This window comes from Homo sapiens, chromosome 8 (assembly GCF_000001405.40).
Source record: "Homo sapiens chromosome 8, GRCh38.p14 Primary Assembly".
In the NCBI taxonomy this organism is placed as follows: domain Eukaryota; kingdom Metazoa; phylum Chordata; class Mammalia; order Primates; family Hominidae; genus Homo; species Homo sapiens.
The window spans coordinates 297,790-311,611 of record NC_000008.11 but is presented as its reverse complement, the minus strand read 5'-3'; the positions used below and the strand labels follow the sequence as shown (position 1 = coordinate 311,611).

Genomic DNA, 13,822 nt, shown 5'->3' with positions numbered 1-13,822 from the left:
AAGCCCTGGCACACGGGCTGAATCTGGGAGGTCAGAAGGTGAGGTGAGAGGACAGGAAGACAGCCCATGAGACTTCCAAAGGAAATGGTGAGTCTTACCATGGCTCTCTGGGCTGATGGCAGGGCCTGGAACAAGGTAGGAACTGAGTGTGAGTGCGGGAGGCACCCAGGTCTGAAATGCTCAGGAAGGACCCTAGGACATGAGCAACCTGGGCTGGTCACTCATGGAACCTGAATGATGGAAAGAAGGAAGGGTGATCCTGCTAAGACAGGGTGTTGTGAAGATTTCCTTTCCCTCCGAACTAACATCTCACTCACTTCTCTCAGTTTCCATCGTTATCTTCTGTGGAGTTCTTCATTCCCACATCTGTGGACCTTAAAATCCTACGGTTGAGTGCCTGCCTTGGATCAGCAGTCGGTTCGTTACCTTGGTTCTCAGACGATGCTTGCAACAACGCCATGCGATTCGCCCACTCTTGGGTAGGTGGAGACATTGGGCCTCAGGTGTGGGTAAGTGATTGTGTGACTCCTTGTTAAGCGGCAGAACCGGGACTCAAATTCACACAGATCTGATTCCAAACCCTGTGGCCCTAAGCACAGTGTTATTAGACCATAAGCCCTCTGCAGGGAGATTTCCAGTGCTGATGGCAGGGTCTGTCATGAAGGAGGACTCTGCTGAATTTTTCTTTGAACCCCAGGAAGTGCCTGGCACAGTTCTCTGAAGAAATTAGAATGTAGCTAGTGGTTACAAAAGAAATGAATAAGTCAAGTAAATGGACAGAGCTGTGTGCTAAGAGTTCTTTTGGGACTACAGAAATGGGTCAGAATTGGAAATGTCCAGAAAATACTCTTGGATAATTATGAAAGCCACATATAGGAGCTCAGGTTTAACTCCATACGAAATGAAGAGTCACAAAAGAAAAGGAGGAGGAGCATGTTCAGGCAGAACCTCAAGCTTGAGAGTGCTATGAAATATGTTTGAGACTCAGAAAATAGTTCCTGAAAGAAATGACACATTAATGAATGAAGGTATAGTTATTTGGAGAAAATGAACCTGGATATAAGAGTAACCATATCAAAATGTGTTTCTTTAACTGCAGTCTTCAGAACCTATGAGGTTCGTTGGTATATTCTTGGGAACTATGTGTGTTTGAGAAACATATTTCTGCTGCCAAACTGACAGTCACCTCAAATCCATCACAGCACTTATGACGAATTCTTTTCAAATTAAATGCTGTAAATAAAATACTTCTCTTTTTTACTGTTAAGTCACAATTTAAAAGTGTTTTCTTACTGAACTACATGTTGGTCCCTCAGGTAAAGATTTCTTGAGTCTCAGGTCTTTGGGGTCTTTGAGGAGTGTGACTTCTCAGATTGGATGACACTGATCTAACTGGCTGTAGTATCCATTCAAGCATGAGGGAGGTCAGATCCTGGGAAAGCTCAGGTCCAAACAGCTCTTGAAAGAGGACGTTGCAGGGCAGGCAGGCTGCTTTGCACAAAGGGACCTGTAGACACTGAGAACATCAGTATACCAGGAACCAGCCCACCCTTTCACTCTGCCAGACACGAGGCTGTGGGCTACCCATCTTTCCCTGTCTCCTGAACTCATAGCAAAAACAAAAAACTTCACTTGTTTGTTAACACATATAGTTCAAGACGGAAAGGCTTACACTGAGGCAGAAAGGGTTGAGGTTTATCAGCATCTTCGCTTTGAGGCCTCATAATGTACTTCCCATGGACTAAAGTTGTTCACTTTCTTTAGAGGATATTAGCTAAAGATGTGGTAAAACCACGTTTTTGCAGAAAAGTGAATATTCAAAAACAAATGTATATGGTGATTATTTAATAGTTTTCACTCCACTTCGCAACTCAACTTTTGGTTGATGCAAGAGGGATGCGAAGGGAGAATTGTGCTTATAATTCCAGCATTGTGGTGGAATAAAAGAGCACAGCATTGCAGCTGTTGAATATAGTTTTTTTCTTTTTATAGGCAGTTTTAAGAAGAATGCATTGATTCTACAACATGCTATTGTGAAGCCATCCGGGACTGTTCACTCACTGATTTAAGAAAGGTGTATTTTCCACTTGAGGTGTGAGAGAAAGTGTGGTGTTCACTCATTGCTCTTCCTTCTGGCTTTTATTTTTCTTACTTTTAGAGAAAATAAGAGAAGTATCCCTGAAGGATGAAATATCCTCAAATATGAAAAGGTCTGCTCTCTGAAGACCAACTGTCTCAGTCTGCTTTTTGCTGCTGTAACAGAATACCACAGACTTGGTAATTTATAAACAGTAGAAGTCCATGTGGCTTATGCTTCTGGAGGCTGGGAAGTCCCAGATTAAGGGCTGCATCGGTAAGGGCTTCTCGCTGCCTTATCACATGGCAGAAGGCACCATGTGGTGAGACAGTGAGGAAGGGCTGATTTCACTTTCACAACAAACCCACTCCCATGATAATGGCATTAATCCATTCAGCAGGGCAGAGCCTTTGTGACCCCATCACTTCTTAAGGCTCCCGCTCAGCATGGTTGCACTGGGGTTAAATTTCTAACACCTGAACTTTGGGGACATGTTCAAACCGTAGCCAGGGCCCTGAGAAACCCATTTCCACTGACTTCAAAATAGTTCATGAAAATGGAGTGCTGAGAGAGCAGCAGGGCATTCACAAGAATGGTTTTGAGAGGCCTCACTGTGCCAGGCATAGCCCTCAGGGCAGGCAGCTCTGCACAGCCCTCCATGGCAGCAGCTGGTCAGGCTGCCCAAACTCACCACTTTGGAATCACTTCAGCACCAGCTATCTTCCCTTGAAATCAATTGTCTGCAGCTTTTAAACTCGTTTCTATGTGCCCAGTAGGCAGAGAAGCCTTCAGAGAAGGATCCTGACTCGGTGGTTTGTGCAGTGACATTTGGCAGTGTTTGCTCGGCAAGAGAGCCTTTGAGGCTGCCCTCATGCTGCTCAGTGGGCACACCAAGAACAAGAGCTGGCCAGGGATGACGGACGCATCTAGGCCTTCTCGGCCTAAGGGCAAGTCCCATTCTTCCTTGATAGGTCTTTAGATGTACCAGTCAGCAAATGTCATCCCCCTCTGCATTCACGTCATGCTGTGCAGGGAATGCTAAACAGAGGTAGATCTAAACTTAGGAGTTAGGCTTCTTCTCCATGGAGATGTGGATCTGCACAGACAAAGTGTCCAAGTGGGATTTTCCTGCTATTTCAAAGACTGCTGCTGCACCCTGCTGGCTCTTCCTGCACTCCCTGCCTCCAGGAATGACTGTGTCTCTTTGAATTAGTGAAGTCATCAACTTTTATTTTAATCTCTTTTTATTATTATTATTATTATACTTTAAGTTTTAGGGTACATGTGCACATTGTGCAAGTTAGTTACATATGTATACATGTGCCATGCAGGTGCGCTGCACCCACTAACTCATCATCTAGCATTAGGTATATCTCCCAGTGCTGTCCCTCCCCCCTCCGCCCACCCCACAACAGTCCCCAGAGTGTGATGTTCCCCTTCCTGTGTCCACGTGTTCTCATTGTTCAATTCCCACCTATGAGTGAGAATATGTGGTGTTTGGTTTTTTGTTCTTGCGATAGTTTACTGAGAATGATGATTTCCAATTTCATCCATGTCCCTACAAAGGATATGAACTCATCATTTTTTATGGCTGCATAGTATTCCATGGTGTATATGTGCCACATTTTCTTAATCCCGTCTATCATTGTTGGACATTTGGGTTGGTTCCAAGTCTTTGCTATTGTGAATAATGCCACAATAAACATACGTGTGCATGTGTCTTTATAGCAGCATGATTTATAGTCCTTTGGGTATATACCCAGTAATGGGATGGCTGGGTCAAATGGTATTTCTAGTTCTAGATCCCTCATCAACCTTTTTAAAAAGCATTTAGGAGCTGCTGGTTGTAAATGATCACTGAGAAATAGTATTTCCCTCACTTGTAGCCATCTGCTTCTCTTTTTGGTTCTGGAACATTCTAGAACCTTGGAAGGTGGCTGGGGCTGAGTCTCAGCCAGCAGGGTTGCCCAGTGCCCCTTGTCACCCCCCGAGCAACACAAGCCAGGCTGCGGTTACTCTGGGTCTGTGCATCTGGGATCATAGTTTTTAAATCTGCCCCAGGGTCCTCCAGTCCCAGCTGTGGAAAGTCACCCTCAGAGGGTGAGGCGGGTGGCGCGCCTCTGTGTGAGTGGCCCCATCCTTCACAGCGAGTTTGTGTCTACTGAATCGCAGACTCTTGGAGGCTGAAGGGTTACAGGAGGTCGTGTGTCTCACGTCGCCACTTCACGGTTGAGGACCTCGTGACCCGCTTTGCTCAGTGGCTGCGCAAGATGAGTAATGACCTGAAACAGGGAAAATGTCTTGGATACATCTTGCGTAATGAGGAGAAAAATGCAGCCATGTTGCAGCCTGATGAAATACTCTGCCAGTATCCTGCCATAAAATGACAGGCGAATTTTCAGTAACAGATTCTCTAATAGTTCTATGGTCTTCTAGATGCTAAACTGTTTAAGTATCTACATTTTCTAAGCCCGCCTAATGGAAATATTCTCAAAAAACATAAACCCTTCATTCTTTCTCAAATAGGTTACATTAGTTATAATATACACTCTGGAGGTGACTTGACCCATCATTGTGAACAACTATTGCTCTTGGACGACCCAGGACTTAGGCCAGCCAGTACGTACCCCAGTGTGTTGGAGAATCGCGCTCGGCTTCTTCCTCTGTGCTGAGTCATGAAAGTTGCCGGAGCAGGTGCAGTTACACAACCTCCAGGCAACATCACATGATCGTTCAAAAAATAATCATCAAGTCCAGGATGCAGCATCTGTCTCAGTTTTGGGCATAGGATGACAGTCTGAAATACACTTACTGAATTTGAATAAGAACGGGCTCAGGTCAGTGATTATCGCTAGTGCCTTATCAACGCCCCGTGGCTTTTCAGCATTAGTCCCCATATCCTCGTCCGGTGTGGCACTGAGAGCAGCTAACTGTTACCCTCGTTGGTTCCCAGTTGGCTTCCGTGACTGGTCAGGGTCAGGTCCACTGCCAACAGGCTGGTGTTGAATCCCTTGGAGAAACACAGACATTCTGACCCTAAATTATGCTTTCAATGCCATGTGTTTTCTTATCACAAAAATCCTTGTTCTCAAGTTTTTTCTTTCTTTATTTTTATTTCATTTCATTTTTTAGCATTCCTCCACAATTCATTGCCCAAATCTACTTTTTACTCAATTTACTTGCTTTGGTCATTTTTCAATATAGCACTTTAATTTCTTAGGCAAATATTTTCAACATTCTCCTGTTTTCTCAAGGATGTATGTTTTCTCCCCAAGTATGATCCTGTTTAAGGACTGGATTTAGGATAACTACTTAGAGGTTAAAAGTCACAAGGGTGTATGGATGAGGCTGGAGTGATCTGGGACCAAAGGTATGGGTGATAAAGCAGAGTATCTAAGCAGCTCCTGGGATTGGTGTCTTTAAAAAAATAATAATGCATTTGCTTATTTTAGAGACAGGGTCTCACTATGTTGCCCAGGCTAGACTTGAACTCCTGGGCTCAAGGGATCCTCCCACCTCAGCCTCCTAAGTAGCTGAAACTGCAGGCATGAGCCACCACACTCAACTCGGTATCTTTTTTTTTTTTTTTTTTTGGAGATGGAGTCTCGCTTTGTCCGCCAGGCTGGAGTGCAGTGCTGTGATCTCAGCTCACTGCAATCTCCACCTCCCGGGTTCTAGCTATTCTTCTGCCTCAGCCTCCTGAGTAGGTAGGATTACAGGCGTGCGCCACCATGCCCGCCTAATTTTTGTATTTTCAGTAGAGACGCGGTTTCGCCATCTTGGCCAGGCTGGTCTTGAACTCCTGACCTCAAGTGATCTGCCCGCCTCGGCCTCCCAAAGTGCTGGGATTACAGGCATGAGCCACTGTGCCCTGCCTAGCTCACTATCTTTTAATCAGTAGAGATTCTTTAGTTATTTTTTAACTCCATGGATCCCAAGCTTTGATTTTTGTTTTCCAAACAAATTGCATTTATAAATAATAATTTTTATTTATAATCAACAGACATCTAGGCTTGCTGTCAAGGCTTCTGATCAACATGAGATGACCGCCGTGTGGTAAACTGATGAACCCCGACCCTGATCAACGTGAGATGACCGCCGTGTGGTAAACTGATGAACCCCGACCCTGATGAACATGAGATGACCGCCGTGTGGTAAACTGATGAACCCCGACCCTGATCAACATGAGATGACCGCCGTGTGGTAAACTGATGAACCCCGACCCTGATCAACATGAGATGACCGCCGTGTGGTAAACTGATGAACCCCGACCCTGATGAACGTGAGATGACCGCCGTGTCGTAAACTGATGAACCCCGACCCTGATGAACGTGAGATGGCCGCCGTGTGGTAAACTGATGAACCCCGACCCTGATGAACGTGAGATGGCCGCCGTGTGGTAAACTGATGAACCCCGACCCTGATGAACGTGAGATGGCCGCCGTGTGGTAAACTGATGAACCCCGACCCTGATGAACGTGAGATGACCGCCGTGTGGTAAACTGATGAACCCCGACCCTGATGAACGTGAGATGGCCGCCGTGTGGTAAACTGATGAACCCCGACCCTGATCAACGTGAGATGGCCGCCGTGTGGTAAACTGATGAACCCCGACCCTGATGAACATGAGATGGCCGCCGTGTGGTAAACTGATGAACCCCGACCCTGATGAACGTGAGATGACCGCCGTGTGGTAAACTGATGAACCCCGACCCTGATGAACGTGAGATGACCGCCGTGTGGTAAACTGATGAACCCCGACCCTGATCAACGTGAGATGGCCGCCGTGTGGTAAACTGATGAACCCCGACCCTGATGAACGTGAGATGGCCGCCGTGTGGTAAACTGATGAACCCCGACCCTGATGAACGTGAGATGGCCGCCGTGTGGTAAACTGATGAACCCCGACCCTGATGAACGTGAGATGGCCGCCGTGTGGTAAACTGATGAACCCCGACCCTGATCAACGTGAGATGGCCGCCGTGTGGTAAACTGATGAACCCCGACCCTGATGAACGTGAGATGGCCGCCGTGTGGTAAACTGATGAACCCCGACCCTGATGAACGTGAGATGGCCGCCGTGTGGTAAACTGATGAACCCCGACCCTGATCAACGTGAGATGGCCGCCGTGTGGTAAACTGATGAACCCCGACCCTGATGAACGTGAGATGGCCGCCGTGTGGTAAACTGATGAACCCCGACCCTGATGAACGTGAGATGGCCGCCGTGTGGTAAACTGATGAACCCCGACCCTGATGAACGTGAGATGGCCGCCGTGTGGTAAACTGATGAACCCCGACCCTGATGAACGTGAGATGGCCGCCGTGTGGTAAACTGATGAACCCCGACCCTGATGAACGTGAGATGGCCGCCGTGTGGTAAACTGATGAACCCCGACCCTGATCAACGTGAGATGACCGCCGTGTGGTAAACTGATGAACCCCGACCCTGATCAACGTGAGATGACCGCCGTGTGGTAAACTGATGAACCCCGACCCTGATCAACGTGAGATGGCCGCCGTGTGGTAAACTGATGAACCCCGACCCTGATGAACGTGAGATGGCCGCCGTGTGGTAAACTGATGAACCCCGACCCTGATCAACATGAGATGACCGCCGTGTGGTAAACTGATGAACCCCGACCCTGATGAACATGAGATGGCTGCCGTGTGGTAAACTGATGAACCCCGACCCTGATGAACATGAGATGACCGCCGTGTGGTAAACTGATGAACCCCGACCCTGATGAACATGAGATGGCCGCCGTGTGGTAAACTGATGAACCCCGACCCTGATGAACGTGAGATGGCCGCCGTGTGGTAAACTGATGAACCCCGACCCTGATCAACATGAGATGACTGCCGTGTGGTAAACTGATGAACCCCGACACTGATCAACATGAGATGGCCGCTGTGTGGTAAACTGATGAACCCTGGCCCATTAGGCTTTGGCTACAGAATGTGGAAATAAGTTGTGTTACTACATGTGTGTAATCCTAGGGTTCAGGACACAGGCTGGGAGGTTCCATAGAGTGATGGGTTGTGCAGGTAACTCATCCTCTAGTCCTCTGTAAGCTCCTAGAAGGAAGAAATTATGTCCTTTAGACTAATAAAATTCCTCCAAACCAAATACAGCACCTACTGTGAAGACACAAAGATACTTTTAGAATAGTAAAAACTTTATCCATTGAGAAATTCCTTAATGAAACAGTATCCAAGAAGTCATTTGCCAGCAGATTTCTTAGAGGTGCGATAAAGAAGAGGACATTGCCAGTCGTCACAGCAGCTGCAATAGCTCCTCTCTATTGTTAAACAGTGGGATATCTTGTACAGGTTTTCAGTTGACAATCAATTTTAAAGATTAGTTTCAGTCCCCATCAATCAATTATTTATTAACCCATCAATAAAAATTTAAATGCTCTGTGAGGTACAATAGCTATTAAAAGAGACAGAGGCACTTTCTGTGTCCAGAGGGGCTTTTAGTCTGCTCTGGAAAGCAAGATGTGTGCAGATGAGTGATGCAGTGCATCGTGTGGATGCAAAGGGAGGGACTCACATGGGAACCAGAGGAGCTATGAAGGGAGGCAGCGGGGACTGGTGGGTCGAGACCTGGAAATAACACATGAATAGGCAACAAAGGTTTCCGTTCCTCTTCCATGCACTTCAGTCCTTGAAAAATGTCTTACCACAGAATTCCACAGCGTACCAAGCGATTCCACAGCTTGATGGCACACTGTCCTTTCTCAGCATTCTTGAAAATGGCATGTGAGCCAAGCCATCTTACTGAGAAATTACCTTAAACCATTTGATGAACCAAAAATATTTTGTAATACCCATCTCTGACATTAGGTAGGCAAATCACACAGAAACAGTGAGGTCTTCTGAGTCATATTTATCTGAAAAATCACAGCTTGGGTGCATGTGAAGCCAGAGGGGCAGTCCTGGGGCCTGCGGTGCCATCGCTCAGCTCCCCTGGGCTTCACATGGCCATGGAGCATCCAGCAAGTGCAGGCTCTGAGCCTTCAGGGAGGGGCGGCATCAGCCAGCACCATCGTCTCCTGGGTCTTGTGCCTCTTCCTTGGTTGCGGTGTTGTCAGGGCCAGAATGGGGCAGTTCCGGGTGACATCCAGGTGTGGTTGCTGATACGGAGCACAGGTGAGGTTCACTGGGTTAAGTGGGCCATGGCCTTGGGCTTCTAGTGCAGAGCACACCATCCACTCAGCATGTGAACCCAGCTCCAAAGTGTATGTGTGCATGTGTGTACCTGTGCACATTGCGCATGTCTCTGTGTATGCATGTGCTTTGATGCATGTTGATGTACAGGTGTATCTGTGTATTGTGTACGCACACATACAAGCATATGTTTGTGTACATGAATTTGTATTGCACATGTGTTTAATGTGAACACGTATGTGTTGTCATGTGTATGTGTTCACATGCATGTGTGTCTGTGTGTGTATTGTGTGCAACAATGTGTGCATGTGTGTATATGTGGGTTTGTGTTTGTACAGTGTGTGTAGTGTGTGTACACATATACACCTGTGTGCATATGTACATGGTATTTAAGCATGTTTGCATGTGTGTTTGTGCTTGCATGTGCTGCGTGTTTGTGTTGGTGGGATGTGGGGAGGCTGCTGTGGAGACAAAAGCTGGAGAGAACTTGGTAGAGTAACCCAGGTCGGGAAATGGCACCTGCAAAGGAAGGCTGGAGTACCTGGGATTCACGTTGAAATGGCCAATCCATCAGCTGGGCTGGACACAGCCATCACACTGGGCAGCTGTGAGGTTAAAACAGAAAGTCTGGGCTGTGGGGAGGCTGAGAATTGAGACGCATGTATGAGATGAGTCACGAGGGCCAAGTGGTGTGTGTGAGAAAGCAGGCACAGCACCACTAAACACTAAGGAGATTTCAGGGGAGTTACGGGTGGAGGGAGGACATCAGATCTACCCTGGAAGTTAAACGTGTTTCGAGTGCATTAAATACTATGGGCCGCAGACGCCTTGTCTCCATATCTACTCTTTTATAAATGAAGTAAAGTTCTTGGGAAATACTTTTCTCACTGTAAAGCTCACAATCTATCTTGCAAAAAATATTTTAAATTCCATCTCAAATAAGCCAGGGTGAAAAGGGAGCCTGTGCACCAGACACTGCCAGCCTTGCCTGGTTCTCGCCTTCTTGCTCTTCCTTCCCCAGCTGCTGGGGATTTTCTTAACGATGGAGATGGGTTTGGGTTTGTCCTGCTGTGCTCTGCTCCCCATTCCCGGATCCAAGGTCATGCCTCTGTCCTGTCCCCTGAGCCACCTCAGGGATACAGGGTCCCCCACCTGGTCAAGTGCCCAGTGCTGTGCTGTCATTTGCAATTTCTTCCTGTGACTGAACTCCAAATGGCACTGGGACTGCTGACTCCACCCATTGGACACCCCGTGTTCTTGCTTTTGGGGTTTCTGAAACAGCCCCAAGACTCTGGGCATCTTGATTTTGCTCCCATTGCTTCTCAGGACGCCCTCCTCCTGTGGTTTGCAGCCCCGGCCTTCTCTTCGAGGACGCCTCTGCTCTTCTGCCTCACACTCGGATTGTACCTTCTTCAGCACAGCCAGTGGCCGAGGCTTCCTCCCTGGGGCTCAGTGGAGCAGGACAGATGCTGCATCCAAACTCTTCCATTGGGTTCCAGTCTGTTCCAGTCATGCCCTTGAGACTCTAAAGCTCCTAGGTAAGAGACGTAGCAGCTGACAGCACTTCCCACTCGATTTGGGTGGACTCCAGCCTCCCCAGCAACAATAAGAGATCAAAGGCATCGTCGAGGAAGCAGCTTGCTGAAACGCTGAGTGCCCGCCACTCTCAGGTCAGGTGGGACCAGCAGGCCAGCGTGAGTTCCTGAACACTTGGTTCTCAATACTGGCCACAGCCACACTGTAAGGGGAAACAAGAGGGCACTGTATGCAAACATCTCTTGAACTCTGGAGTCTGCTCACCTTCCTGCCTCAAGCCCCTCTCCCACGTGGTCCAGTCACCATTCTCCACAGAGACTACCCTAAAACCCAGCGACTCTCGTGTGCCTGCAGAATGGCGCAGCCCGTTCTCATAGCAGCACTCCTGTTTAATCAGAGGGATGTTAACGACCAAGTCATATTTGCTCGATTTGTGTTCAATATATTTCATTTCTACTGATAAAACTTAAAAATATCCCCACACATGCATTGCCTGTTAAAGAGTATCTTCCAGGTACACCTCCCTTACACATCAGTTAACTTGATAATTTCTTCCCATTCTTGTACAATAAATTTCCTTCCTGATCAGCTCTGTCCAGCAGCAACAACAATCCACGTAGAGACATGCAAACTAAAAGTCCGTTAGTGGAGGCACGAAGCTGATGAGGCTTGGAAAAAAATGACCGATTTGATTAAAATTAGGACCCATGGGAGTGGAGCTCTGCCTATTTTAGAGGCAAAGTAAATGCCTGGGAGTCCAATCACCGACATTCTGTTTGAGGTTTCTAATCACAAGGAAGATGGAGAAAATGCAGAACAAGTGGTCAAGAACAGGGAGATAATAAATAGAATATTTATGGGCTGAGGAAAACAATTACCAGGGGAAAGCCCAAGAAGCAAAGATGAACAGAGAACGTGCTGACTGCGCTCGTTTGGAAAGGCCTCATGGCCAAAGGAGGAGAGGCATTATGAGGAGCAGTGACCGAGTGGGCAGGACCCCCGGGGATCAGGAAAGGTGCACGGGGGGAGATGAGAGGCCTGAGCGGCTTCCCAGCGAAGGTTTTTGAAGCACGGTTTGATTTTCTCTCTCCCCCTCACCATCCCCAGATTTTAGTTGTGACTATCTCCAGGTACATGGCTTGCGACAGGCGGTGTATAAAAACTAATGTGAGTTTAATTTTAAAACCTTAGCCATTTTCTGGAACTTAAATATCAAAGAGAAAATGTCCACATATGATGTTAATTGAGGTTTGTCTCACTGGTGATTTGTGCTGATTCAATTCCTGTTTCTTTTTTTTTTTCTTAAGGGGTCAGTTTTAGAATTGGGAGATAGGTGTATAACATATGACTATACAGCGCAGGTTGGTTTTTTAACATAGAAATATCTGCCTTTAAATGAGAACTGAAAACGGAGCTTCTTGGAGGCCACCTGCTGGTGGCAGTGATCTGACCGCTGTTTAAGCTTTCTTTGAACTCCTTTTTGTAAAACAGCCTCCATAATCAATGGTGTACGATCTACTCTCTGGTGGTAAAACTTACTCAGTGAAGAGTGTGTTTTATTTTCTGAGGAGCTGAACTGTTCCAACCTGAGTATTCTGAATAAGGACAGTGGTCGAGCATGAGTGATGCCATCTGGGCTTAGAAATAAGTGGGCCTAAAATCTGATTGTTTTCATACATTGTTCAGATATTGACTTAAATAGCAATTTATTTTTTAAAAAATGATTGGTATCCGGAACTTGCAACAGCTGTGTGTGGCTTGAAGGGAGAAGAAGTGGTGAAGGCCTGGTTTCCACCGAAGCTCTCACAGCCCAGCCTTTCACTGTGTGGCCGGGGGAAGGGTGCTCCGGGTGGGGGACGGGAATGGTGGGACTGGGGATGCCACGGGACAAGGCTGCTGGCCTGGAAGGTGGTCCCGTGGAGAACCGCAGGAGATGAGATTGGAAAGTAGTAATAAGCCATGTGGATAAGAACAGAGGAGCGGGTTTTAAGGGGGACGTCCTGAAATGCTGCTCATGTCGTTTCAGTTCCATAGACCACAGGAAATGCAGGTGAGAGGGCAGCCCGGTGGGAAGGAAGGAAGAGGGTGGTGGTGAGCCAGGTGAGTGTGGAGCCGCCCAGGGCACCGTGCTGTGCTATAGCTCAGGCATCGGGTGCTTCTGCCAAACCCTTCAGCACCTGGTTTGGGGCCAACTTCCTTCCTGTGTGAGAGAAGGCAGAGCCTAGGCAGCATTCCAAACCCCATCCAGATGGGAGGCTGAGTGCAGAGCAAACGGAGCCCAGCACTCCAGAGCCGTGTCCCTTCACTGCCACGATCACATCACAAACAGCGAGGCTTGGAGAGGACTTGAGAGCTCCTTCAATGCCATCTTCCATCCACTGCGTGAGCCAGAATAGAAAAAAAGGAATAAGAAGAGGTCGGTTAAGTTCTCTATTAAGTTGAGAAAATGGGAACTTCAGGTGATCATGTGAGATATTCAAGTTAAAAAAATTATTTAAAAAGCACATTCTTATTATTAAAATTTTAGAAAGTACAGAGAAAGAAATTTTAATAACCTACATCTAGAACACTAAGATACCGGTAACTTAGAAAAATGTGTAGTTAATGCCCTGATGGATTCTTTTCTATTTTTTTCTCTAGCAATATTTATGTCTATCCACAGAAAGCATACACTCATGTATTTGCATGGCTAATATATTTTATGTAAAGTTCTATATATTTCTCAACATTTCACTTAATATTTCTTTATAAACATTTTTCCAGTGGATAAAAATTTTTCAAAACAGTAATTTTAATGACTATATAACATTTCATTGCATTTATATATCATTTGTTATTTAACTACTTCATCATTTTGGATTCACATATTTTCAATAATTTCCATTATAATAATACTGTCATGAATACCTTTGTACAAGAATATTTATATTTCTAATTATTTCCTTAGTCTAGTATCCTAAAAACTAAAATTCCTACATCAAAAGTTCAATGTGTATCATAGCTCTTGATTGACATATTGATTTCCATGAAGCTTTC

General features: G+C 46.5%; 2 long non-coding RNA genes across 3 annotated transcripts; both read left to right on the top strand.

Annotated features, from left to right (window-relative positions):
- Positions 1 to 342: 342 nt before the first annotated feature.
- Positions 343 to 3,278, top strand: LOC105377773 (uncharacterized). Of its 2 annotated transcripts, none has more exons than XR_941344.3 (3): positions 343 to 479; positions 2,159 to 2,277; positions 2,854 to 3,278. It is a non-coding gene; the product is annotated as an uncharacterized LOC105377773 (long non-coding RNA). The 2 variants fall into 2 exon arrangements; XR_941343.3 differs by having other exon boundaries at positions 2,851 to 3,278.
- A 2,067-nt stretch (positions 3,279 to 5,345) lies between these two features.
- Positions 5,346 to 8,498, top strand: LOC124902052 (uncharacterized). Its single transcript, XR_007061162.1, has 2 exons — positions 5,346 to 5,447; positions 6,081 to 8,498. It is a non-coding gene; the product is annotated as an uncharacterized LOC124902052 (long non-coding RNA).
- The last annotated feature ends 5,324 nt before the right edge of the window (positions 8,499 to 13,822 follow it).